Here is a 24,265-nt window from a genome sequence, read left to right as displayed (position 1 = left end):
TGTCCATCTGATCTGGCGCTATTCAGGATGGTGAGCAGAGGACTGCGGGGGAGGGGGCAGTGCAAGGCTCAGAGGAGCAGCTGTAGCCCAGGTATGTAGGTTCAGAAGCTGCCCCGCTCTGCCTGGCCCAGGCTGTGTGACTTCAGACAAGGCGTCTCCCTTTCTGGTTCCCTAAATCCTCCCACTTCACTCCCTAGCCCCCTTCCTTCATTCACACCAAAGTATAAGTGACTGATAAGGCTTCAAGTGGCATGAGGAGCGGGCCTGTGACAGTGGCATTTAAGTCTTGAGGAGCCAGGCTGAACATCTGGGAGCATTTTCTACTTCTCTGAGATCGCACAAGATGAAGAAGGGAGTGAGTCTGACTCTCTGCCCAACCCCAGCCCCTGCCCACACCAGTCCCTTCAGGGGACAAACCACCAGCATGGGCCACTGCCTGAATGCTCACCATGTGAGCTGAAGGACAGTCATCACCAACATCTTGCCCTCCATCCCATTCCCCTAGGGTGGGACAGCTTCTGAAAAGCAGTGGTTGGGCAGCAGGAGCGGGGAGGAGTGTTGGGGGAGGAACAGCGGGACTGAGGTGATGGGAAAGGGCAGATAGTGAGCCTTAGGGCCCATATTTGGACCTGTGAGTGGAGAGAAGTGGCGTCTAGGCCTAGCTCTGCCCTCAGCTCCCTCAGCACAGTGTCTCCTCCCTGGGCCTCAGCCTCCTGAACAAGGAGAGAATTGGATGAACAGTGGTGGAGAGCATGGCATGATGATGTCCCACCAGACTGCACCTCAGTGGGACTTCGCCTTCACATCGGACCCCAGGCTTCCAATTCAGGTTGTGGAATGAAGGAAGGAAGGGTGAGGAGGAAGGATAGGTGGTGGGCATGGAGGTCAGGAGCAGAGGCAGGTGGCGGGGGGGGGGGGGTGCTGAGCCCCAGCAGGTGGCCAAGGCCCAGCCAATGGGGGCAGGTCAAGGAGCTGCCTCTACCTGGGGCCCCGTGGCCCCTGAGCCTGGGGAGGGAAGCTAAGAGACAGAAGGAAGATGCTGTGCCCTATGGGATTTACACCTGCCCCTAACATCCAACAGGGGCTTTAGATGCTCACTGACAGATAGGGAGACCCCCAGGTAAACAGGTACGGCTCCATCACTGCATGGGAGATGGAAGGTCTCCTTAGGGAGCTTCAGGTGAGAGTAATGAGGTGGGTGAGTATGATTCGGCTCTCCCTGAATGTGAGCTATCTGAGCAGAAGAGGCATCCCAGAGAAAGTGACAACAGAACCAAAGCCAGCATGAGGACCTCATGGGGCAAAAAGCAGGGGCAGCAGCTGGCAGGCAGAGAGGACCTAGCAAAGCCTAGAGGATGGGAACAGCCAGGAGCATGGGGGACCCATGGGAAGGGTGTGTGTGCATGTGCATATATATGTACCTTGTGTGTACATATGTGTGTGTGCGCATGTGTGCATATACATGCATGTGTGTGTGCACATGTTTGTGTGTGTATGGCTGAGAAAAACAGAGAAGTGGGAAGGGGCCAGAGCATGTAAAGCTCAGGCTCCTGAAAGCCTTGGCAATCCAACAGTGGAGAGGGCAGATTGGGAGGGGGTTAGCAGGACACAAGGGGACCTGCCAGGAAGCTGTGGCTGTCCAGAGCCAAAGGGACAGCCCACCTCCAGCACCCTGACACAATTCCACCCAGCAAATCTTTCTTGAGTGCCCACTTTGTGATAATTGGCAAAACTTTTGTAAGGCTTATGTGTGCTGGACACAGTTCTAAGCACTTTGCATGCACCAGCTGGTTTAATCCGTACAACAATCTAATTTGCTAGTGTTATATTCATACAGGTTTTGTAGGTGAGAACACTGAGGCATGGAGCAGTGATGGGACTCTGGTTTTCAAATCCAGGCAGCTGCTCCAAAGTCTCTGCCCTTGGCCATCCTGTGCTCCTGCCTCCTGCCCACCCAGCACAGGCAATGTGCCCGGTGGGGGCAAATAAAACATAGACCAGACATGCTGGAGCCTAATCTATGGCTGGCAGGGGTGGTAGGAATAGTGAGAAGAAGGTGGTTTGGGGAAATACTGGGAGATGATGTTTCATTAAGAGGCTATGGGGGAAGCAGTGACAGCAGTGGCAGTGGCAATGGGGAAAGGGCTGGTGCATTGCCAGGGACTGTTCCCCACTGAGGTGGCTGCACCTCACTGAGCTTCTCACTGAGGCCCAGGTGGAGGCGGAGGAGTTGGCACATGCTAGTGACAGTTTCCCCACCCACCCAGCCCTGGATCTGTGCCCAGCCTCTCTGGGGTCCCAATTAGAGCTGCGATGGGAAGACTGTGAAAGCAGAGAGGTGTGACAGGAGGGGCACAGCCACCGTCACAGCAAGAGCAGCAGAAGAAATGTCCCTGCTTACTCTGGACACACCTTTCTCCTTGGGGTCCATGGTGACCCAGATCTGGGTCCCTCTGAGGCCAGGGCACAGTAATTGGCAGGGACTTCTCACTCATCACAGGCTCCTGAAAACCAAGGCAGTTCTCCCTCCTCAGGTAAAACGCTGCCCACTGCCCAGACCACAGTGGACTTCACCCATCCATAATTTAACAAGTATTTAATTGAACACTAAATACCTTGTAACATTAATTTATAACCTGTATAATTATATATAAAATATATTTATATGAATACGTAACATACAGTCTATATATAATTATAAATTAACTATAACATTAATTAACAGGTTTAACAACTCCATGCCTGCTTTCTGCCGAGCACTAGGCCAGCCTCTGGAGGCAGGGTGGGCAGGTTCACACACCCTGGGCAGGGCAGTCAGGAGCCTGCTTTCACAGAGCTTGCAGCGTGATGGGAAGACAGGACAAGACCAGGGGAGGATGTTGCAGTATGAAGAAGGATGGGCAGAAGGGGCACCCATGCAATTTTGGTGAGGTGGGGAGGGCTGCAGAGTTGCAGAAGGCTTCCTGGGGGAGTGACATTTAAGCTGACACCCGATGAAGAAGGGAGGTCGGGCAGAGGAAAAGAGGCGAGGAGAAGGAGAAGACAGAAGATACAGGGAAGGAATAGGGAGAAGAGACAGGGACAACTCTGAGGGCTCGAGGTGAGACGTCAAGTGTGATGAGCACTATTTGGACTCCAGAGCACTCAAGGTGGGAAGTGGGGATGCAGCAGACGGGCCTGATGACAAGCCTCCTGGGCTGGGGCAGTGAGGAACTGCGGGGGAGCTTCCTTGTGTATTTGGGCATGAGCAGCATGATGAGATGGAGAGGTGTCTCTCTGAGCCAGACTTGGGAGAACGAAACCACTTAAGAGGCAGCTGCAGTCCAGTGGAGAACCGATGCATGGGCCAGACTGATCAAGGTGGCAGTGAAAGGGGGTGACCAGAGTCAAGAGGAAGTGGAATTTGAAGTGCGTGACAGCTGCGTGTCTTGGTGGGATGCATAAGGTGAATGGCAGGGGTATCCCCTATGGCAGGACACAAGAGAAAGAGCAGCTTTGGAGGGAGTGGGGATGAGATCAGCTTCAGGGATGTTGAATGTGAGGGGCCTGTGGTCCACACCATGCACCCAGGCCTCTGAGGAGAGAGCTGGGCTGGTGAGTGGAACCAGGGGTCGTCAGCATGGAGAGGGGCCAGGAGGCTTATGAGGCCCTGACTAGATGGCCTTCAGGAGACTTCTGGATCTTCCACGGTCATTTATGTTCTCTACACAGACCCCTGCAAAGCCCCCACTGACAGGAACAGACAACCAGAGGAGACAACGGGAAGCAATATGTTTGAAAAGGAAAGTGGAGGAACAGTAAATGCCTTGGCAGAGCTGAGAAGGCGGAAAGCTAAGTGCTTGTCAGGGGATGGATTTCACCTGGGCACCCGGAAAGGCTCAGGACGTAGAGCACCCAGTTCCTCCGAAAGCAGGAGTGAGGCTGGACACAGAAGGAGTGGTGAACATCTCCTTAAAAAAGGACTTAAACACTCCCCATTGCACTCTTAAATTCCCTTCCCACCTGGCTGAGGATGGAAAGTTTACTCTCACAAGAAATGCACCCAGAGTCTCAGGTCTTGGTGACTCTGGGGCTGTGAAGCAGGGTGGAGGATGAGACACCATACTGAAAACAGGGGATTATGCACAGAATTGTGGGACTCCAGCCCCTAGCTGCTACTCCACTTGCAGAACACTAACCATCCCCAGAGAGAAATTAGATAGCTCCTCTCTGGAAAAGCTAACCAGCCCAAGAGGAAAAAGACCTAGAAGCACTTGGACTTGCCACCTGATCACCTCCAGGAAAGCCCATGCCAGGACAAGCCCTGTCTATGCACACATACTCTCCTGTCAGATTGTTGGTGCCTCTGTCTTAAATATGGACTCCTGCCAAGGGTCCCCAAACATTTTAGAAATGTCTTCTACATGAAAGACATCAGCCAGAGAGGAGGAGCTAGGAAATGACTAGATAGACAGAGACAGAGACTTCAAGGAAACAGAGACAAATATGAGAAAAAACTAAAAATACAGCTAATACCCTTAGAAAATTAATAAAATATATTGGATACATGGGGTTGGCGGGCAGAATGGGGAAGAACATAATACATTTTTTTTTTTTTTTTGAGGCAGAGTTTCGCTCTTGTCGCCCAGGCTGGAGTGTAGTGGCGTGATCTCAGCTCACTACCACCACCACCCCCCAGGTTCAAGAGATTCTCCTCCCTCAGCCTCCTGAGTAGCTGGGATTACAGACGCCTGCCACCATGCCCGGCTAATTTTTTTTTGTATTTTTAGTAGAGATGGGGTTTCATCATGTTGGTCAGGCTGGTCTCAAACTTCTGACCTCAGGTGATCCACCTACCTCAGCCTACCAAAGTGCAGGGATTACAGGCATGAGCCACTGCACCCAATCTATTTTTATAAGAAACATCCGAAGAATAAGCAAAAGTTTCTAGAAAGTAAAAAGAAAAATATCATAGCTTAAATTAAAAATTCAAATGAGGCAGGGCCCGGTGGCTCACACCTGTAATCCCACCACCACTTTGGGAGGCCGAGGCAGGTGGATTGCTTGAGGTCAGGAGTTTGAGACCAGTCTGGCCAACATACTGAAACCCCATCTCTACTAGAAATACAAAAAATTAGCCAGGCCTGGTGGTGCACGCCTGTAATCCCAGCTACTCGGGAGGCTGAAGCAGGAGAATCACTTGAACCCAGAAGACAGAAGTGGCAGTGAGCCAAGATTGCCCCACTGCACTCCAGCCTGGGCAAAAGATAGAGACTATGTCTCAAAAAAAATAAAAATAAAAATAAAAAAGTTCAATTGAAAGGCTGAAAGATTAAGTTGAAAACATCTTTTGGAAAATAGAACAAGATGACAAGTTAGAAAATAAGAGAGATATAAATATCTTTTATATGAAATGGGAGGTTCAAATCATTAAGCGCTAACCCCTTACTAACAGGAGTTCCAGCAAGTGAAAGCAAAAGGAGGAGATTTTTCAAAGAGATGATACAAGATTTTCTAGAACCCAAGGATATGAGTCTCTGCTTTGAAACACCCATGAATCATAGGACAACTCATAGAGAATCCATACCAACGCACATGATCATGAAATTCAGAATATCAGGGGCAGAAAAAACTAAAAACAAGGGGGAGAACGGGTCACATACAAAGGACAAAGGACAAGGACTGAGCATGGCATGAGACCTTTCAACAGCAAATACTGGAAATGGGAAAACAACTGAGCAATGCCTTCAAACTCTTTGAGAGAAATTTTTTTGCAACCTAGAATATCATACCTAACCAAACTATCCATCTTGTAGATAAAACAAAGAGTAAATAAAAGTGAAATAAATACACAATCAGACATAAAAGGAGTCACAAACTCTACCTTCTGTATATGCTTTTCAGGAAGTTACTGGAGAGTGTGCTACACCCAAACAAGGAAGTTAGCAAAGAAGTTGGAAGCCATTGCCTCCAAGACACAGTGGAGTTGATTAGAAAGAGAGGAGAAGAAAACCTTCAACAAGATGAGGAAGGACAGTTCTAGAATGATAGCTGGGGAGACCTGGAGAGCAGCCCTTCCAGGCAGGAACAGGAGGCTCTAAGGAGCATGTCTCCAAAAAAAGAATAACAATTTGAACTGATACATTCCCTGAAGAGGGTGGCAGAATTGAAAGCCATTTTAGGTTTTGTTGCAGATTTTGAGGGAGAATTCATGATAGGTATATAGAAAACTACGTAAACAACAAGCAAACAAAAAAAAAATCCCTAACTTTAGGAAAAAAAATAAGTCCTGTGGAATTTCACTTCTGAAACATCTCCCAGGTGATTCCCACTAGTGCTTCTGCATCCCAGAGAGCCAGTAGCCACCACTCAGTCAGGATGCTGATTCTTCTCAAGAAGAAGAATTTTTTTTTGTGGCCTGAACAATTTTTTTTTGTGGCCTGAACAAAGCCACAGAAAAAGGTAAGATCTGACATTTGGGCATCCCCTAACAGAAAGGCAGGCTTACTGTGTGAATCCCACTGGTAGCCCCACCCTGTCCAGGCACAGTGGGCTTCAGTCAGCCTCTGAGAGTCTCTCTTAAATATGAACTGGCAGTCAAGGATCACCAGACATGTGAGAAAATCCTCCAACATTAAAGACCAACATCCAAACAAAGAAACTGAAAAAAAATAACCTAGAGAAAATAGAGAAGATGCAGGGAACAGAAGAAAACTTCAAACTATGATTAACGTTCTTAATGAAATATATATAGAGAGAGAATCCAGACACAAGAAAGCTTTGAAGAAGGACCAGAGAAGAAAAATGAGCTCTTGGAAAAATTTTTTGAAGTATTAATAAATTACCAAATCAATAGAAGAATGAGAGATAAAGTACAAGAAATTTATTTTAAAAATTTAAAAAAGTAAAAGATACGGAACATAGGGGGGAAACAGAACAACAAAAATTAGAGCTCCATTGTAGGAAGCCCAACATCTGGCTGAAGAAAATTCCAGAACGTAAGGTGAGGGGAAATTAAGAAGAAATTATCAGAAAAATTACACATAAAAGTTTACTGGCCTAGGACAGGGTTTCTGGAATAAAAGGGATATTCAGTGCCCAGCACAATGGATGAAAAAGGACACACAGACAAGCAGAGGGAGGGCAGTGAAGACATCTGAGAAGCCTCCAAGGTGACCGGTGTGGTTTGGATCTGTGTCCCCACCCAAATCTCATATTGAAATGTAATTCCCAGTGTTGGAGGAGGAGCCTGGTGGGAGGTGATTGGATCATGGGAAAGGAGTTCTCATGAATGGTGTTGCACCGTCCCCTTGGTACAGTCTTTTGTGATAGTGAGTTCTCCTGAGATCTGGTTATTTGAAAGTGTGTAGTACCTCCCCACTGTCTCTCTTGCTCCTGCTCTTGCCATGTAACTTGCCTGCTCCCCCTTGCCTTCCACCATGATTTTAAGTCTCCTGAGACCTCCCAGAAGCTGAGCAGATGCCAGCATCATGCTTCTTGCACAGCCTACAGAACCATGAGCCGATTCAATCTCTTTTCTTTATAAATGACCCAGTCTCAGGAATTTCTTTATGACAATGCGAGAATGGCCTAACACAGTGACAAAGCAAGTCACAAAGGACAAAGAATCAAAACGACATTAGGTTGCTTTTTAGTAATCCTGGGAATTAGAAGACAATGGTCAGGACTTTTGAGACTGTGAGGTAAAAGTATTTCCCACCTAGGTAACCTAGGGAAGCCATCAATCAAATGTGCAGAGAGTAACACATTTTCAGGCGTTTCAGATGTAAAAGCACTGAACATGTTGCTTCTTAAGTCCCCTTTCCTAAGTCCCCTTTCTCAGAACACTATGGGAGGATGTATGCAACAAAAACAGGGAACAAACCAAGGAAGAGGAAGAAAAGAGATTCCAGAAATGAGAAACTTAATGGAGAAGGGCAGAGAAGGTAAATCTCAGGCTGAAGAGAGAGGTCCTAAGAGGACAGTCGAGTAGCAGATCCAGCAAGCAAGGAGTTCAGAGAAGAGCCAGGAAACAGAGGGGAAAACGAAACAGATACATTCGATTGAACGGAGATGATTTCTGATTAGTGAGTGGTAGAGATGTGGAGCACTTAGAAAAAATTAACAATAGATACTAGACATCAGGCGAGTTAAAAAGGGGTTATTAACTCCAGAACAAAGGAGGGCTGTATAAAAAAGAATGCATAGTCATAATGTGTAATGGCCTCGACAGTGCTTGTCCTCAATCAAAAACTGGAACATAATGATGATGAGAGGATGGGGGGAGAGAAGCAGGAGGGAGATGGGAGATTTACCTGCTATTTACCATGGCAAAAGCTAATGCCCAAAACTGATGTATCAAAAAAAAATACTGTGTAAGCGTATATTTAAAAATTGAGTTAAAAACTAGAGGAAACACCCAGGAGAATTAAGGGTGATTAGAACCTAAAGGAGGCACTGGGCTTGGAGAAACAGGGAACAAAGATTGCTGCTTTTCATTCTAAACCTTCTAGTAGAATTAAATTATATGATGGTATTATCTGAATTCCCCACATACAGCTTTTTAAAAATTCAATCCCTGTATATCCGTAATCCGGCCTGTCATATAGTAGGATCTCAAATGTATGCTACAGAAGGAATGGAGGGAGAGATCCCGGGACAGGAGGCATTGGGAAGGACTTCCTGGAAGAGAGAAGACATGGGCTGCGCCTAGAAGTCTGTGTAGGATGTGGATGAGCAGAGGGAGGGACCCTAGTTTTCTGGAGTAGGAGACGATAGAGCAAAGGGTCTTCAAAGACAGAGCAAGTTAATTTGTCGTATCAGCTAATCATTCTAGGAGTTTCTGAATTCTAAGAGAATTCACAGAGAATGTCCCAAAGGGATGGAAGTGGAAAAGCAGAATGGCAGTCCCCTTGGCCGATGGGACCTCTCTTGTCTGTTAGCATATAACTCTTAAACAGTGCAGTCCCTTCTGAAGGGACCATATGGCATCTCCCATCCCTTCCCCTCTGCAACCTTCAGGTTTCATGTATTATTTCTTTCAGAGTGGGAGTACTCAAACCTCTGATAGCAGAATTATCTGAAGAGCTTTTCCCAAATATTACCATCTTGATCCCATTCCCAGAGAGGCCAACTCCACTGATCTGGGAGGAGCCCCAAGACTCAGGGCTGGGGTAGGGCGAAATGAGAAAGGCACTTGTTCTCAGGCTCCTGCCGGCACAAGGTCAAATGCTGCCTTTACTTAAGTTTGATGCTCTGTTCATCATGGATTTTTTAATTAATTTTGTTTTGTAAATACAGGACATTATTATGTATTTTGATTATGGGGTTTGGGGCACTCCTTAAATTTTGCAGCCCAGGTGAGTAGGCACTCTTTAGCCCCAGCCCTAGTAAACATCAGCAGTTTTGCTTGAAGCCCGGCCAGGGTCTGAACCGTGGGGCGTAGTCATTGCTCTGAAGCCTCCAGGGAGGCAGGGCAGGGATTCCCACAGCCCTGCACAGCCGGAGATGCAGGACAGGCTGCAGTTGGGGCAGCCCTGAGCTTCTGCAGGCCTTCCAGAGTAAAACCAGCAGCAGCCTGGCCTGGGTGGCTCCCTCTGCTTCCAGGGGCAGTGTCTAGATGAGCAGAAAGACTCCGTTGCCCCTGTTCTATGCTGGGAATCTTCTATGGAGGCAAAAAAGACATCTGCACAACCTTGTTTTTCTGGAAAAGTCATCCAAATAGTTCCCCGACACAGAACCCTTCAATTTTCCAAAGGAGTAAATTAAATGCCTGCTCATTGCTTGAAAAGCTAATGCTCCTCACACTGGTTTGAGGAGAAATTTTCAATCCAATGGAGCTGAATTTTCTGTGATAGCTAATTATCACTTACCATGTGTGAGATAGGGTGCTGGAGGGTTATCTTTGGGAGGGTTATCTAAGCGGATTCTCGTGTCACCTCACGAGGCAGATACCATTGTCACCCTAATTTTACAGATGAGGAAATGGAGGCCCAGAGAGGTTGAGTAACTTGCTGGAGGTCACACCGCTGGCAGAGGGGATAGTTGGTTTTGACGCTCTGTCATCCTGACCCCCATCCTTGTGAGTTCTCTATCATTCTCACAACAGGAACAGAAATGTCTAGCGTCTAGACTGTAGCCAGGAAGCCGGGGTCCTAGCATGGAGCCACTGCATGAGCTTGGGTGGCCTTCCCACATGCTGTTCATTTCCTCACCTGAGAACAGGGAAGGGGACAGCTGTGCTGGCCATTCTGGCCCGGACATGCAGGGATCCTGTGACTGGAGCCATCTGGGCGTTTCCAGCAGTCACGTGCTCTGCTGTTGTTTGTTCTGAAGATGCAGGAGCCGTAGAGGAGAATAACTCACAGAGAAGGGCAGTGGGAATATTCCAGGCCAGGGTCTTGGAAACCACCTTAGTCACCTTCTTCAGCATCCCCTGGTCAGAGGATTCAGCAGCTCCCAAGCAGTGAGTGTTCCCTCCTCTTCCCCCAAGGATCTTGAATCAGCAGGTAGAGAAGGGTAGAGAAGAGGGGGTTGCAAAACCCAGTATTAGTGGGGGAGACGAGGAGCTGGTCTTGGAGAGTACAGGGGGTGGAGTCAGAGAGCACAGACCTACCCAGAGGGCCTGGGGTGATGGGGCCAGGCGGGGATGGAGCCCTGAGAATCCCCCAAGTGCTCAGGAAACAGGTACTCCATGAAATATCTGTGTCTCCCTCTGAGGCAGGAGGGAAAAGGGAAAGAAAGGCTACCTGAGGTCCCCAGTCTGGGAGGAGGAATGCCCCCACAGCCTGTGAGAGGGTGGGGTGGAGAGAAGGGGGTCCAAGAGCTGAGGTGCAGCAAAACTTCTTACAGGGAAGCAGGAGCAGTCTCAGAAGCTCAGGTCTGCCAGTGGACAGGCATGAGGAGCTGGGAGCTCACAGCAGTTGAGCATGCAGTTGAGAGGAAGCTGCAGCCCTCCCTCCAAGAGACGGAGTAGCCTGCCATGTTCTCCAGGGCACCAGGGAGTCCTGGAAGCTGTGAACTCCTGGGAAGCCCCAGTTGGGACTGAGCCACCAGAGAGGCAGTGTCTGGTGACCAGTGGCTCTTCCTAGGATGCTTCCTTCTTCCTTGGTGGCCAAGTGTGAGGCCAGTAACTTTAACTGGAGCCCTGCCCTTTTCTGGGTGAAGGAGAGAGGACCCTAGCCTGCTAATGGCTCCTGGAGCCTCACTTCAATGCCACTGTCCCTCTCCTATGGGAACACACAGTGACCACAGGGTTCCACATAGTTTTCCTTCCTTGGATAGAAATCAAGATGCTTGTCATCTGTCATCAACTCTTTCAGTGCCTGGCTGGGAAACCATGTGGTCCCCAAACCAGAGGGTTACACTCAATCATCACAAAGGGTCTTGGTGTATCAAATAGCTGTGGTTCTTGGTGACCTGGGGATCCCAAGACTTTCACCAAAGGTACGTTCGGATGGTGCATCTTGATCTCCCATGGTGGAGGAACACGTGATTCTCCTGCAACATCTCAAGACCCCAGTCACCAGGCAGCGTGAGAGATTCAGAAGAAAAACAACTGGTCCTGCAGAAATGGACATACTGACCAGATTCCTCTGATCTGTAACCTCCTGACAATAGCAAGGTCCCAGCTCCTCGCCCTGCCTCCCTCTTCTCTCCTTCCTGTCTCCTTCCTCCCAGAGCTTCTTGGTCCCCAATTACTCAGAACTGCAGGAGGCCTGCCAGGGAAGAAATTAGAGCTACACATCAGCTATTCTATATTTACCACCTGATGGCTGAGGAGGATCTATCTTCTGCACAATTAAATGAAAAGATTTTTAATATCGGCAGGCAAAGGACTCTAGCAACAATGGAGAATTAGGTTAGAGCCAGCAATTGGATTAGCGCCGAGCTGTAAGTGAAATGAGGACTCAGACACGGGAGGGTCATACTTCTCCTGGTGACAGGCCCTTCCTTGGTGTGGCGTGGGGAGGGTCTGGGATGGCGAGGCCCAGGCTGGGTTCCTGAGCCTGGCCCAACCCCCATCCCTGAGGACTAAAGGCTGGCAGGGGCAACCTCTCCCAGAATCCTCTGCAGAAGAGGAGGCCCTCAGCCAGGTGCAGGGGCTGAGCAAACACAAGGGTTTTCATGGATGCCACCCTGGGGCCCCACAGACAGTCAGGAGCTGCATCCCCAGCTGAGAAGTAGACCTCACCAACGTCCTTGAACTTCTCCCTAGTTCAGGCCCTCCTCACCTTTCACCAGGGCTGCTGCAGCCATCCTACCACCTTGTCTCTCTCTCACCTTCCAGTCTGACCTGTGAGCATACACAAATCACCCTTCCCTAAGCCAGCCTCCTTCCCTGAAGTGTAGCGGAGAAATTCAAGGGCACACAGGTTCCCATGTGACAGTTATTGAGGGCACAGCAAAGATGCCACAGTTGGAGAGGGTGCAGACAAACAACTATCCCTTCCCTTTTTCCCTCAATTTTGCACTGAGTTATTTTTTCAAGATTTATTAAATGTGAAATGCATGAATGCACCCTGTCTTTGCTAGGTATGTGTTTGGGGACAAATTCCAGCACTGCCTAGGGAGAGATGGCACATGCATCTCACGTTGTTTCTGGCTGCCATCTACCTTTGCTAGGCCACTGCTGCTGTCCTGACATAGCAAACTCAAATTCCTGGCTAGAAACTAGGGCAAGTCTTTCCCATCAGCTTCCTGGAGGTGGGTGTCATGCTTCCCATTCCAAACAGAGCCCTGGGAGGTATCCAGTCTGACCCTGCCTCCTGAAAACATGCAAGCTCCTGTCCTGTTTGTGCAGAGCTCCAGAAGGGAAGACTCCACAGCCAACTGGATCTCTCCTAGTCACATTCCTCTTTCTCACTGACAGTGAGTTGTTCCTTCCTCTGCCCTAAGTCTCTCTGGGAGGGGTCTAAGTTTGCTAGCATTACCTTGAGAAAAGACAGAAGTCAGCTGGTGCTTATGAGAGAGCAGCAGTCATCTTCCCCCAGACTTTCAAATCTAACAGCCCTGAGTGAGAACCACGGGTCCTAGATTGTTATCCCCATTGCAGAGGGTAAAGCAGAGGCTCAGGAAGTGAAAAGGCCACCAGAGAATTAAGTATGGAGAAAGGCTATCCTGGGACTCCCTTGCCCCAAGATCAATAAGTGAAAAGCACAAGCCTTACTTCCCATCATTCCACTACATGCCCAGTCCTGTGCTGAACTGGAGTTGGGATGTCAGGAACAGTGCAGTGTCTGAGATTTTTACCCAATTTACAAGCTAACAAGTTAGCCTGCTATTGTTCCATGGATGCCAGCCAAAGATACAAGATTCCTGGGTCAGAGACAAAGGACTTCATCACTCACAGCAAAAGCACTAGCCAGAGCTGCATAGGATTGCTTCGGTTCTCCGACATCACCCAAGTCCCACAAAGACAATGCAAAGGGCCCATGATGGTGAGTCACCCAATGGATCGCATTACAGGAGAGTAACACTGAGCTTGGAACATTTGCCACTTCTCTAGCGAGTGGAAAGAAACCTGGTCTTTTCCTGGTGGGAGGTGTTACTGCATCTCTCATGGCTGCTCATGGCAAATACAGCCCTGCGAAACAGCCCGGGTAAAGAGTGACTAGAGCCTTGCATTCTCGGCACACCGAGCAAGAATGTTCAGGGATGGGTCCATGGCAAATTTTCTCATGGACCATGGCAAATTGTCTCTCACAACAGGGGAAATTGTCTCTCTCAACTAGGAGAAGAGAAGGGCCTTGTACCTGCCCTCAGGATGCTCCAGATGACCATACCTATAAGAGCTGCCTTGTACATGCACAGTGGATGCCTCGTTGCAGTTCCATATTTTCACTATAGAAGTAACATCAGGAAGAAGGGCTGGGTTCCTGAATATCACACAGTAAAAGCAAGTATCTAAAAAGAATTGTTGTGAAATGAGGTCTGAGTGAGACCCATATTAAAATACTGGAGAAACGTATCTAAATACATCTAGCCAAGAATAAGACTATGCTCATAGAACTTCATGAGTGTGTCAGTTAGGATAAGAAAGGGTAGGCTGCAGTAACAAATATCCTCGAAATCTCAGTAGTTTAAATCTCACACAGGTTTTTTTCTTACTCATGCTACATGCCTATCATGGGTTAAATGGGGCTCTGCCTCAGGCCCAAATGGATGGTTCCCCCAATATATCTGAACCTTTTCCAGTACCTGAGGTTGTAGGTACATGGTGAAGTATGTATTGACTCTTCTGAAAAGAATAAAGACAGGATCTCAGTCTGTCAGCCAGGCTGTAGTACAGTAGTGCAATCATAGCTCACTCAAACCTCAAACTCTTGGGCTCCAGTGATCCTCCTACCTTGGCTTCCCAAAGTGTTGAGAATACAGGCCTGGGCCACCATGCCCAGCCAACTCTTTTCTTTTCCTTTTTTTTTTCTTTTTTCTTTCTATTTTTTTTTTCCCCCTGAGACAGGGTCTTACTCTGTTGCCCAGGCTGGAGTGCAGTGGCGCAGTGTTGGCTCACTGCAGCCTCTGCCTCCCAGGCTCAAGCAATTCTCCTACCTCAACCTCCTGAGTAGCTGGGATTACAGGTGCCCGCCACTGTGCCCAGCTACTTTTTGTATTTTTAGTAGAGATGGGGTTTCACCATGTTGGCCAGGCTGGTATCCAACTCCTGACCTCAGATGATTCGCCCGCCTCCACCTCCCAAAGTGCTGGGATTACAGGTGTGAGCCACTGCACCCGGCCTCAGCCAACTCTTAAAGCGTCTGCCCAGAAGTGACACTCATTGTTTCTATTACAGTCGACTGATCAAGCTAAGTCATGTGACCATAACTAACTCCAGATGGGCACCAAAGGGCCATCCTACACTATGCACAGAAAGAAAGAGAGCTAGGGAATGGGGACTCAGCCCTTATGACACCCAGCGAGGGATTTTATGCTTTCCTTACTCTATAAAGAAACCAGAACAGGAAATCAAAGATGAGACATCATGCACGTGGTTTTTTAAAAATAAAGATATAAAAGAACTCTCATCAGCCAGCAGACTGCTGTTCAAAAAAGAGACCTTGGCCACACATCAAGAGTGCTTAATGAATATATATGATTTTTAAGCTGTCTCCAAATATTTAAGGTGTTTGTCATTGTTTACGATTGTCCACTTTGACTGACTTTTTTGGTTGTCTCAATAACCACATCTTGTAGGGCTTATCTTCCTCAGACTAAATTCTCTCTGGACCTCAAAAAGGAGTGTTTATTTTTTACTGAAGTGTTCAAATAAGTGTCCCAAAGTCACTCCAAACTGAGAGGCAAGACTTCAGAAGGCAGCTCACGTGACTGCTCCCCTGCTCCCTCACCTTTCCCCAGAGGTTTCCTCTTCACACGCCTTCTCCAACTGATGTTACTACCCCTCCTCCTTATCAGCGGAGTAACCTTGGTCAAGTTACATCATCTCTTTGTGCCTCAATTTTCCCATTTGTAAAATGAGATGCTGATAGTGACTGGGGTTTTGTGAGGATTAATTAAGGTGACACGTGACATGCTTTAAACATGCAGTCTGTTGCCGATGTCTGGAATAGGAAAGAATTAGCTATTTGCACAATTATTCCATGGACAACCAACCCTTCCCCTCAAGGTTAAGTGTTTCAGCAGCCCAGTACATCCTTGAGCTTTGTGAACTGCCCTGCCTCAGGCATTTGCTATATGTTTATGAGTCCCTGAATCTGATGGCTCTAGGCAGGAAGCAGACACTTCTATCCCTTCAGAGTCCAAGAGGAAGGCAGTGGCACTTCCACCTCTGGTTGGTCTCTGTACTGGCAATGTTGTACCTGTTTTTTTCCTATGTTCTTGAAAGCAAATACAACTCACCAAGTAGACTGATTTCTGTCAAAGATCACCCTGTCTAGTTCAAATGAAGAGTATCAACTTCTCCAGTTGCCCCAGTTTTGACCCTAACCCATGGGAAATCATAAGCCAGGACTGTGAGCCTGAAGGTGTGTGTGTCTCTTTCCCAGCAGAGTGCCCAGACAGTGGGGTGTCCCAGTGAACTGAAAGTACCCATCCCTAAGACAGTGGATGGTGCCGTTTGAACAGCGTCACTCTTGCGTGGTCAGCTCGGGCTGATGTGACCAATTCCACAGACGACCGGGATAACCGATTCCACAGACCGGGATAACCAATTCCACAGATCGGGGGGCTTAAACCACAGAAAGGCATTTCCTTATGATTCTGGAACCTGGAAGTTCACAATCAAGGTATCTGCGGGGTTGTTTCTTCTGAGGCCTCTCTCTCCTTGGCTTGTAGACAGATGTTTTCTGGCTGTGTCTTCACATGGCCTTCTTCCTTTGTCTGTCTGTGTCTGAATCTCCTCTTCTTATAAAGACACCCGTCATGTTGGATTAGAGCCCACCCCAGTGAACTCGTTTTAACGTGATTACCTCTTCAAAGGTTCTGTGTCTGAATAATCACACTCTGAAAGACTGGGGGTTAGGACTTCAGCATATAAATCAGGGGGTGGGGGAACAAAATTAAGTCCATAACACCTTCCATCCTCAAGTTTCAACTCCAAGAGCAAGGGTGGGGGGCAAGTTTCGATTCATGTCACTGTCAGTCTGGAGTAGAAGTTGCTCCCCTCTGTTATCCCCCCTCTACCTGGCCCCTCCATTGCCTCACCCTAGTTCAGTTCCTCCCAGCCATGCCCTCGCCCGCAGAAAGCCTCCTCCCTGGCCTGCTCTTCCTCCTCTAATCTCACACAGCTCTGGCTTTCTCTCCTGCTACCCCCAGCCTGGAAGGAACCCTGCAGAGGGTGTGGACGGGGTAGGCTTGGCCCATGCTGAGCCAGAGGCAGGACTAGGGAGTCTTGCGGTGAGGCTGGGAAAGAGCCAGGCCGCACAGGTTCCGGAAGCAATGTTTGGGGTTTGGGAGCAGGAAGAGGCCTGGGGGGTGTCCCACTGGATCTATTTGTCCACCCCCTGCCCACATTAGCCCTGGCCCAGTCCTCCTCAGTGGGAGAGAATGGCTCACAGATGTTCCAGATGTTCCCAAGGGCTCCTCCGCCTCCAAGTCCTGAAAAGGGTCAAAGGATAGGCTTGTCATTTCCTGGTAGAGAAGGACTGTAGCTAACCTCGGAACCAGTGCTTTGCAACGTTTCCCTGTGCCTCACCCTATTTCTGTTTTGAACTTCCCTTTTTTTCCCTGTGTATCTATCCGTCTCTTAATTGCCTTGCCAGTCTGTCCTTCTGGTTATGGGTCTCACCATTGCAAGAGGGTCTGTAATGGTAGTGAGGCATCTAAGTCAGGGACTGCTCACATCTTTTCTTGGTCTGATATTTTTGTTTTCATTACTCTATCCATGATGCCTGGAACAGTACCTGGTACACAGTACATCATAGGTTTAATAAACATGTTTGGGGTTTTTTGTTTCCCCCCCTTTTTTTTTTTTTTGAGACGGAGTCTCGCTCTGTCACCCAGACTGGAGTGCAATGGCGTGATCTCAGCTCACTGCAACCTCTGCCTGCCGCGTTCAAGTGATTCTCCTGCCTCAGCCTCTTGAGTAGCTGGGATTACAGGCACATGCCACCAGATCTGGCTAATTTTTGTATTTTTAGTAGAGACGGGGTTTCACCATGTTGGTCAGGCTGGTCTCGAACTCCTGAACTCGTGATCTGCCCCCCTCGGCCTCCCAAAGTGCTGGGATTACAGGCATGAGCCACTGCGCCCAGCCTGTTTCTTTTTGTTTTTTAGAGACAGAGTCTTGCTCTGTCACCCAGACTGGAGTGCAGTGGCACTATCATGGCTCACTGCAGCCTCAAATTCCTGTGCTCAAGCGATCCAACCACCTCAGCCTCCAGAGTATCTGGGACTACACATGCATGCCACCACACCTAGATATTTTTGAATAAATGAATGACAAGAATGAGCAAACCTTGTCTTGGGCCCCAGTGTGCTGTGTAGAGCAGAGAAGAAGTGTCAGGAGCCCTCTGTATAGACAAGGGTAGAGAGAAGCTCAGGAGGTCCTTAGCAGCACCCTGTGGGAGAGCAGGGAAGGCCACAGGAAACCTGACCCCTAAGACCTGGGTCCGGGACTCAAGAGAATGGAAATGGAGAGGAACCAAGAGGAAGCACAGACTGGTAGTGGGCACCCTGTCATTGGAGCTATGTGAGGCGATAAGGTTTGGCTGTGTCCCCACCCAAATCTCATCTTGAATTGTAGTTCCCATAATCCCCACGTGTCATGGGAGGGACCCGATGGGAGGTAATTGAATCGTGGGAGCGGTTTCCCCCATGCTATTCCTGTGATACTGAGTCAGTTCTCACAAGATCTGATGGTTTTATAAGGGGCTTTTTCCTTTTTGCTGGGCACTTCTTGCTGCCGCCATGGAAGAAGGATATGTTTGCTCCCCCTTCTGCCACGATTGTAAATTTCCTGAGGCCTTCCCGGCCCTGCCAAACTTGGTCAATTAAACCTCTTTCCTTTATAAATTACCCAGTCTCAGGTATGTCCTTATAGCAGTGTGAGAATGGACGAATACACAAGGTTACCCAGACGCTAGGAGTCCAGCCCAGAGGAAACACACTAGAGGCCTTAAAAGAGCAGATACCTTCAGGCTCAATGGTGACACGGAACTCTAATTCTAGACCTAGTCCTGCCTTGGGCCCCTGGACCTGGGCAGGCCACTTGCCTTCTCTAATCCTCAGTTTCCTCATCTATATGATGTTAAGAAGAGGTATGACACTGAATTTTTATGACAGCCCATCTAGCCCTGAAGATCAGTTTTCTTGACGCTTGGGAGAGTCTGTCGCAAAAGGGCGGGCTGTGGTCCTTCCCAGAGCTGCTCCAGTGAGCTGGCCATCCTCAGAGGAGAAAGGGAGGAGCCAGAGCACTGGGGAGCCCTGGCAGAGGCACGCAAAGACCTCAGTGAGAACCGGCTTTGCCCTGACTCCCACGCCTCCAGCCATCCCCACAGGCCTGCAGCTCTGAGCTTGATGGCCCCAGGGGTGCTGGAGGAGTGGAGGAAGGCTTAGCAGGGTCAGGGGCCACGGCTTCTTCCGGGGGAACCCTAGACACAGGCTAGAGATGGGCTCCGAAGAGCACGTGTCTGGCAGTAGAAGAGCCTCAGGCAAGGAAGCAGGAGGCCTGGCCTCAGCCCCTGCCCAAGCTCTGATTCTCTGTGTGACCATAGACGAGTGACTCTCCCTCTCTGAGTCCCAACATCCTGATTTACCAAGGCTGGATCTGGGCTCTGCTGAGAAGGGGGCAAGAAGGAAACAAGAAACGTGGAAGGGTCCCAGCCCTTCAGGAGTTCTCGATGTAACTAAAATTTGAGGAAGGGGGGAAAAGTTACACACAGGAAAAGATATTAATAAATAATAAATTATTTGTTGATATAATAACATATAATTTATAATAAACATGGTAAAATCTGGAAAATGGGCTTACTAATCTCCACCCTGCCTTCCTGCTTTCCTAGTGAGGAGCAAGAAATGAAAGCCAGCATCTGCGTGTCACCTGCAGAGCGCCCTGCAGCTGGTCCTCTCATTTGCCCTCCAAGTCAGCTCACAGGCTCAGCCTTAACACGAGGAAAGAGCTCCAAGGAGTTAAGAGACATACACTGACTGTTCTCTCCTTCTGGAACTTTCTCCCTTCCCATGGGCGCCCACAGCCCCCGGGCTTCCCTGTCATAACTCTCGTCATTGCCACCTGCTCCTCGTGGGCCTCCCCCAAGGCTGTGAGCTCCAGAGAGCAGGGTGGTGTCTCTCTTTCTCGCATCTCTATTTACAGCATCCAGCATAGAGCCTGGCCTCAGAAACCCTCCAAGTGCTTGTTTGTAGCAGACCATTGTGTGGCTATGCCCTGAATCAGAGCTGGAATTCACCCAAAGGAAAACAGAAAAGATTCTTTTAGGTGACGTGGGTTTCAAATAATTTGATACGGAAACTTCAGGGAAGTCATGGGAGAAATTAGAATTCTGGACATCCTTATGACTATTTTAATTCAATTTCAATTCATTTCCACAAACATTTTTCTCATGCCTGCTCTGTGCTAGGCACTGCTGAACAAACGGAACAAAAAATCCACCCTTATGCAGCTTACATTCTAATGGAGAAACAGAAATGATACAACAAAGTAAATAAACAAGTTATGTGGCATTTTAGTAGTAAGCACCATGGAGAAAAAAATAAAGTGAAGAAATAGCAAAAGCCACTGCAGAGGCTGCAGGTGGGACTAAGAGTGAAGAGGTGAGTGAGTCATATGGGTGTCTGAGGGAACCTGCTCCAGGCAGAGGGAGTGACAAGTGCAAACGCCCTGGGGCAGGAACTGCAAGGAAGTCAGCAAGGCTGGAGTTGCGTGAGCAATGAAAGAAAGAAAAGAAAGAAGATTCGTCCAGAGAGGCAAGACTCGGAGGTCTTTGTAGTCCTGCGTAGGCCATTGTAAAGCCTTTGGTGTTTTACTTTGAGTGAAATGGGGAGGACTTCACAAATAATAGGATTTATTTTCAGTCATAGTGGGATTTTATTTGAGGGGGCGGGTTGAATAGTTGAATAGCCACCATATCTTCCTGTGCCCCCAAACCTGGCTTGAACCCAAGTGCAACTAACGACAAACGTAGTGCCCACTCCGGAACCCATGCCTCCAAGAAGGGAGAGGCAAGAGAGGAAGAGGCCCTCCACTTTGAAGCCTGAGCCCCGGGCCACGGTGGAGAGAGCTCTGAGCAGCTCTATGAGGGAGTGTGCGGCCCTCTTGGTGACTTAGCCTCCACAGTGCCAGGAATGTGGTGTCTGCCACCAGACCGCTATTGTGAATTGAATGGGGAAAAGGTAAAGGGAGAAATGCAACCCCCAGGGCTGGGGCTGTGCAGCCTGCAGGTTGCGCAATAGACTCTGCTGGCCTCAGGCCTGGCTCTCCACAATCTGGTCCCCTCCCCACGCCCTCAGCAAGCCTCTGGGTCACAGGACTAAAAAGCTGCTTCCAATTAGATTCACTGAACCCCTTGGGCCCTAGAGGGAGGAACTCGACAGGAGCCATTGCTCTGGGTGTAGGGAGGAAGAGGAGGAGGTGATCAGGGAGGTGAGGTGGGAGGATCAGGCAAGCACCTAATCACTGCTTGCCTGGGTGCTCACCGCTCCCAAGCAGTGCTGCAGGCTGGTGTGAAGAGAGTGACCCGGGAAGCTCCAAGACCCAGATTTAAACTCAGTTATGACGTTTCCATGAGTGTCATGACTGAGCAAGAAGGTGAAGAGCCCGCGCCTGTTTCCTCATCTGCGGAACGGAGCGAACACGCCACCTACTTCATGAGACTTAACAGACGATGGAAGTGGAGCATTCAGCACAGAGCCTGGCACATGGTGAGCGTACATTATGCAGCGGTTCCTTTTCTCATCGCCCAGTCCACAAGGCTTCCTGTCTCCCTGTGTGCCCAGATCTCGACATGGCTCAGCAGGGCCGGGAGCGGGAGGCTTCTGAGCTCAGCCTGAGGGGAGACCTGGGCTGGCTGGGGGTCAATGCAGGAACCAAAATAGGATGCAAGAAAGGAGAAGGCAATCTACAGGACTGAGTGTCCTTCAAACTTGTTCACTTTCCCATAGTGAGAAGTTCATTTTTCACTCTGACTCAGCATAAACACGTGCATGTATGTAACATGGAGTTAAAAGCTTCAAGAAGCAATACTGACTCATGCTCTAGCTTCTATTCTCTTCTATTCCATCAAAAAATATTAAATGCTAGTCACAACCCAAACACAAGATTTTTAAAGCTAACGAAAAGTCCAAGCCCGGGCCTGGAACACAGTTGGTCTCACGACTGGTCCCTCTCAGTCTGGGCCAGGGCTGTGTGGACCGACGGGTGAGCAGGTCCACAGGCATTGTGACTATTCTCTTCAAGTCTCCAGAAGGCCACCAAGAGGCAGAAGGGGCAGGAGGCAGCAGAGGCTGAGTGGGCAGATGACGCCCTGAAGAACTGCTTCAGACCCTGTCCAGGACGGCCTTCTGCCCCACAGAGCCAGGTCAGGAGCAGTGGAGTGGGCACCCACGCTGGCTGTCTTCAGGCAGAGGCTAGAGGGCCATCCACCAGGCCACCTGCACAATGTGAACCTGACCTGGGAAGGGCCAAGGGCCTGGAGGACCTGAGAGAGGCCATGTAGCATGGTGGTCAGCACAGAGCTTCTACTACCAGGCTGCCCAAGCCAATGGTCCATGTCCTGGCGCCATGGCCTCCCAGCTGGGCGGCTGAAGGCAAATCATTTACCTCTCTATGCCCTAGTTTTCTCACTTGTAAAGTGGAGATGACGATCCTTCCTCAAAGAGCCCTGTAAGGACTGTGTATGGATGTGTGCATCCTAGAACAGTGCCTGGCGCTGTTGTCATTTTTATGCCAAGTCAGATGAAGGCGCTGACTGGCTGGAGGCCAGCCAGGTTGTGTGCCAACAAATGCCATATGGCTTCGGGGCCCAGCTTTCTCTCTCCACAGCCTCCAACCGGTGAGCCAGGTTCTCCTTGAGATTGGCAGGGGTGGGAGCAGCATGGGTATGTGCCCACCTGCCGCTGCCCTCAGCCAGGGCCCCTCGACAGACATTCTCCACGGTTCATTCATCATTTGCTTGCTGGCCAGGTTGAGCGGTGAAGGGGAGGAGCTTCGTTCTCTAGATCACAGGTGGGTCCTTCTGGGGCCAGGGGCCTTTCAGGGCCACAGGGTGCTGGGAAATCACTCCAAGTCCCAGCCTGCGTGCAGCTTGATACTGCGCCCCCCCAGGCCCCCATATAAACACTATGGAGCCTCGAGCTAGTGATGCTGGTGAGAGGTGACAACGTGCTAGCAGCTCTTGCTCGCTCTGGGCGCCTCCTCGGCCTCACCATCCGCTCTGGCCGTGCTGGAGGAGCCCTTCAGCCCGCGCTGCGGTGTGGAGGCCCCTCTTTGGGGCTGGCCGAGGCAGGAGTCCACTCCCTCTTCTCGTGGGGAGGTGTGGAGGGAGAGGCGCAGGTGGGAGCCAGGGCTGCGCTCGGCGCTCGTGGGCCGACGCTGGTTCCGGGTGGGCGCGGGCTCGGCAGGCCGGCACCTGCTGGGCTTCATAGGAGGCTGGGTCCCGTGCATGGACCCCGTTCCCTCTTCGCAGGGTCATTGGTCACCATGGCTAGTCTCAGTGTCTTTCTCGCTTCCCCTCTTTTCTTCTTGGTTGTCTAGGAGCTTTCTCTGGGCTGCCGGAGTGCCCAGGCTAGGTGCTGCAAACTCCTGCAGCGATTGCCAGTGAGAACTGAAGATGACTGGGCTTCTGTGACGGCTGGGGACTTGGAAAACTTTTGTGTCTAGCTAAAGGATTATAAACGCACCAATCAGCACTCTCTGTCTAGCTAAAGGTTTGTAAATGCACCAATCAGCACTCTGTGTTTAGCTAAGGGAGTGGGGACTTGGAGAACGTTTGTGTCTAGCTGAAGGATTGTAACGCACCAATCAGCACTCTGTGTCTAGCTAAAGGTTTGTAAACGCACCAATCAGCTCTCTGTCAAAATGGACCAATCAGCTCTCTGTAAAATGTACCAATCAGCTCTCTGTAAAATGGGCCAATCAGCTCTCTATAAAATGGACCAATCAGCAGGATGTGGGTGGGGCCAGATAAGGGAATAAAAGAGGGCCACCTGAGTCAGCAGTGGCAACCTGGTCGGTTCTATTTCCCTGTTTTGGGATGTCTGTGTTTTTCCTGTTTGCAATAAATCTTGTTGCTGTTCTCTGTTTGGGTCCCTGCCATTTTTTATGAACTGTAACACTCACCGGGATGGTCTGCAGCTTCAATCCTGAAGCCAGTGAGGCTATGAACTCCCCAGGAGGAGTGGGTAACTCCAGACACACCGCCTTTAAGAGCCGTGACGCTCACTGCAAAGGTCTTGCCCCTTCACCCCTGAAGTCAGACCACAAACCCAGCAGTAGTAAGAAACTCCGGACACGTTCGAACATCAGAAGGAACAAACTCGGGACACACCATCTTTAAGAACTGTAATACTCACAGTGAAGGTTCATGGCTTCATGCTTGAAGTCAGCGAGATCAAGAACCCACCAGTTCTGGAACCACGGGGTGGGGGCGACTGTGCGTGGGAACGGGTTCGGTAGAATTGGTGTGTATGCTCCGCTCACTGTCCTTCCTGGAGGCACGTGTGAGTTCCCACAGGGTCCAGCTACAGGTCACGCTGTAGGCAGGAGGAGGGCTATTACAAACTCAGGGGCTTCTTTTTGATGTTCCTTACATCAAATACCATACTAAAAACCAGAATCAAACCTTTTGTGGGGCACATTTCCACTTAACCTCACAAG

General features: G+C 49.5%; 2 long non-coding RNA genes across 5 annotated transcripts in view, besides 1 other annotated feature; one reads left to right on the top strand and one right to left on the bottom strand.

Annotated features, from left to right (window-relative positions):
- Positions 1-24,265, bottom strand: part of LOC105375222 (uncharacterized) — a 46,023-nt gene that overhangs the window by 12,533 nt on the left and 9,225 nt on the right. For 3 of the 4 annotated variants that reach the window (XR_001745156.2, XR_927160.2, XR_001745155.2), the window contains exon 2: positions 23,962-24,141. This is a non-coding gene — a long non-coding RNA (uncharacterized LOC105375222). Of the gene's footprint in view, positions 1-19,941; positions 23,270-23,728; positions 23,856-23,961; positions 24,142-24,265 lie in introns of those variants that run through there. The other variant, XR_927159.2, reaches the window with a different exon arrangement.
- LOC105375221 (uncharacterized) lies at positions 10,324-23,689 on the top strand. The gene is made up of 4 exons (XR_927158.3): positions 10,324-10,444; positions 15,984-16,220; positions 19,437-22,615; positions 23,144-23,689. It is a non-coding gene; the product is annotated as an uncharacterized LOC105375221 (long non-coding RNA).
- Positions 23,004-24,203: an enhancer, noted in NCBI's record as "BRD4-independent group 4 enhancer chr7:31032726-31033925 (GRCh37/hg19 assembly coordinates)". NCBI's record gives its function as "activates an origin of replication core promoter dependent on BRD2, P300/CBP, MED14 and CDK7 cofactors, and independent of BRD4, by STARR-seq in HCT116 cells {active_cell/tissue: HCT116}" and the evidence as "EXISTENCE:reporter gene assay evidence [ECO:0000049][PMID:35650434]".

Source organism: Homo sapiens, chromosome 7 (assembly GCF_000001405.40).
Source record: "Homo sapiens chromosome 7, GRCh38.p14 Primary Assembly".
NCBI classification, from domain to species: domain Eukaryota; kingdom Metazoa; phylum Chordata; class Mammalia; order Primates; family Hominidae; genus Homo; species Homo sapiens.
This window is presented reverse-complemented; position numbering and strand designations above follow the sequence as displayed.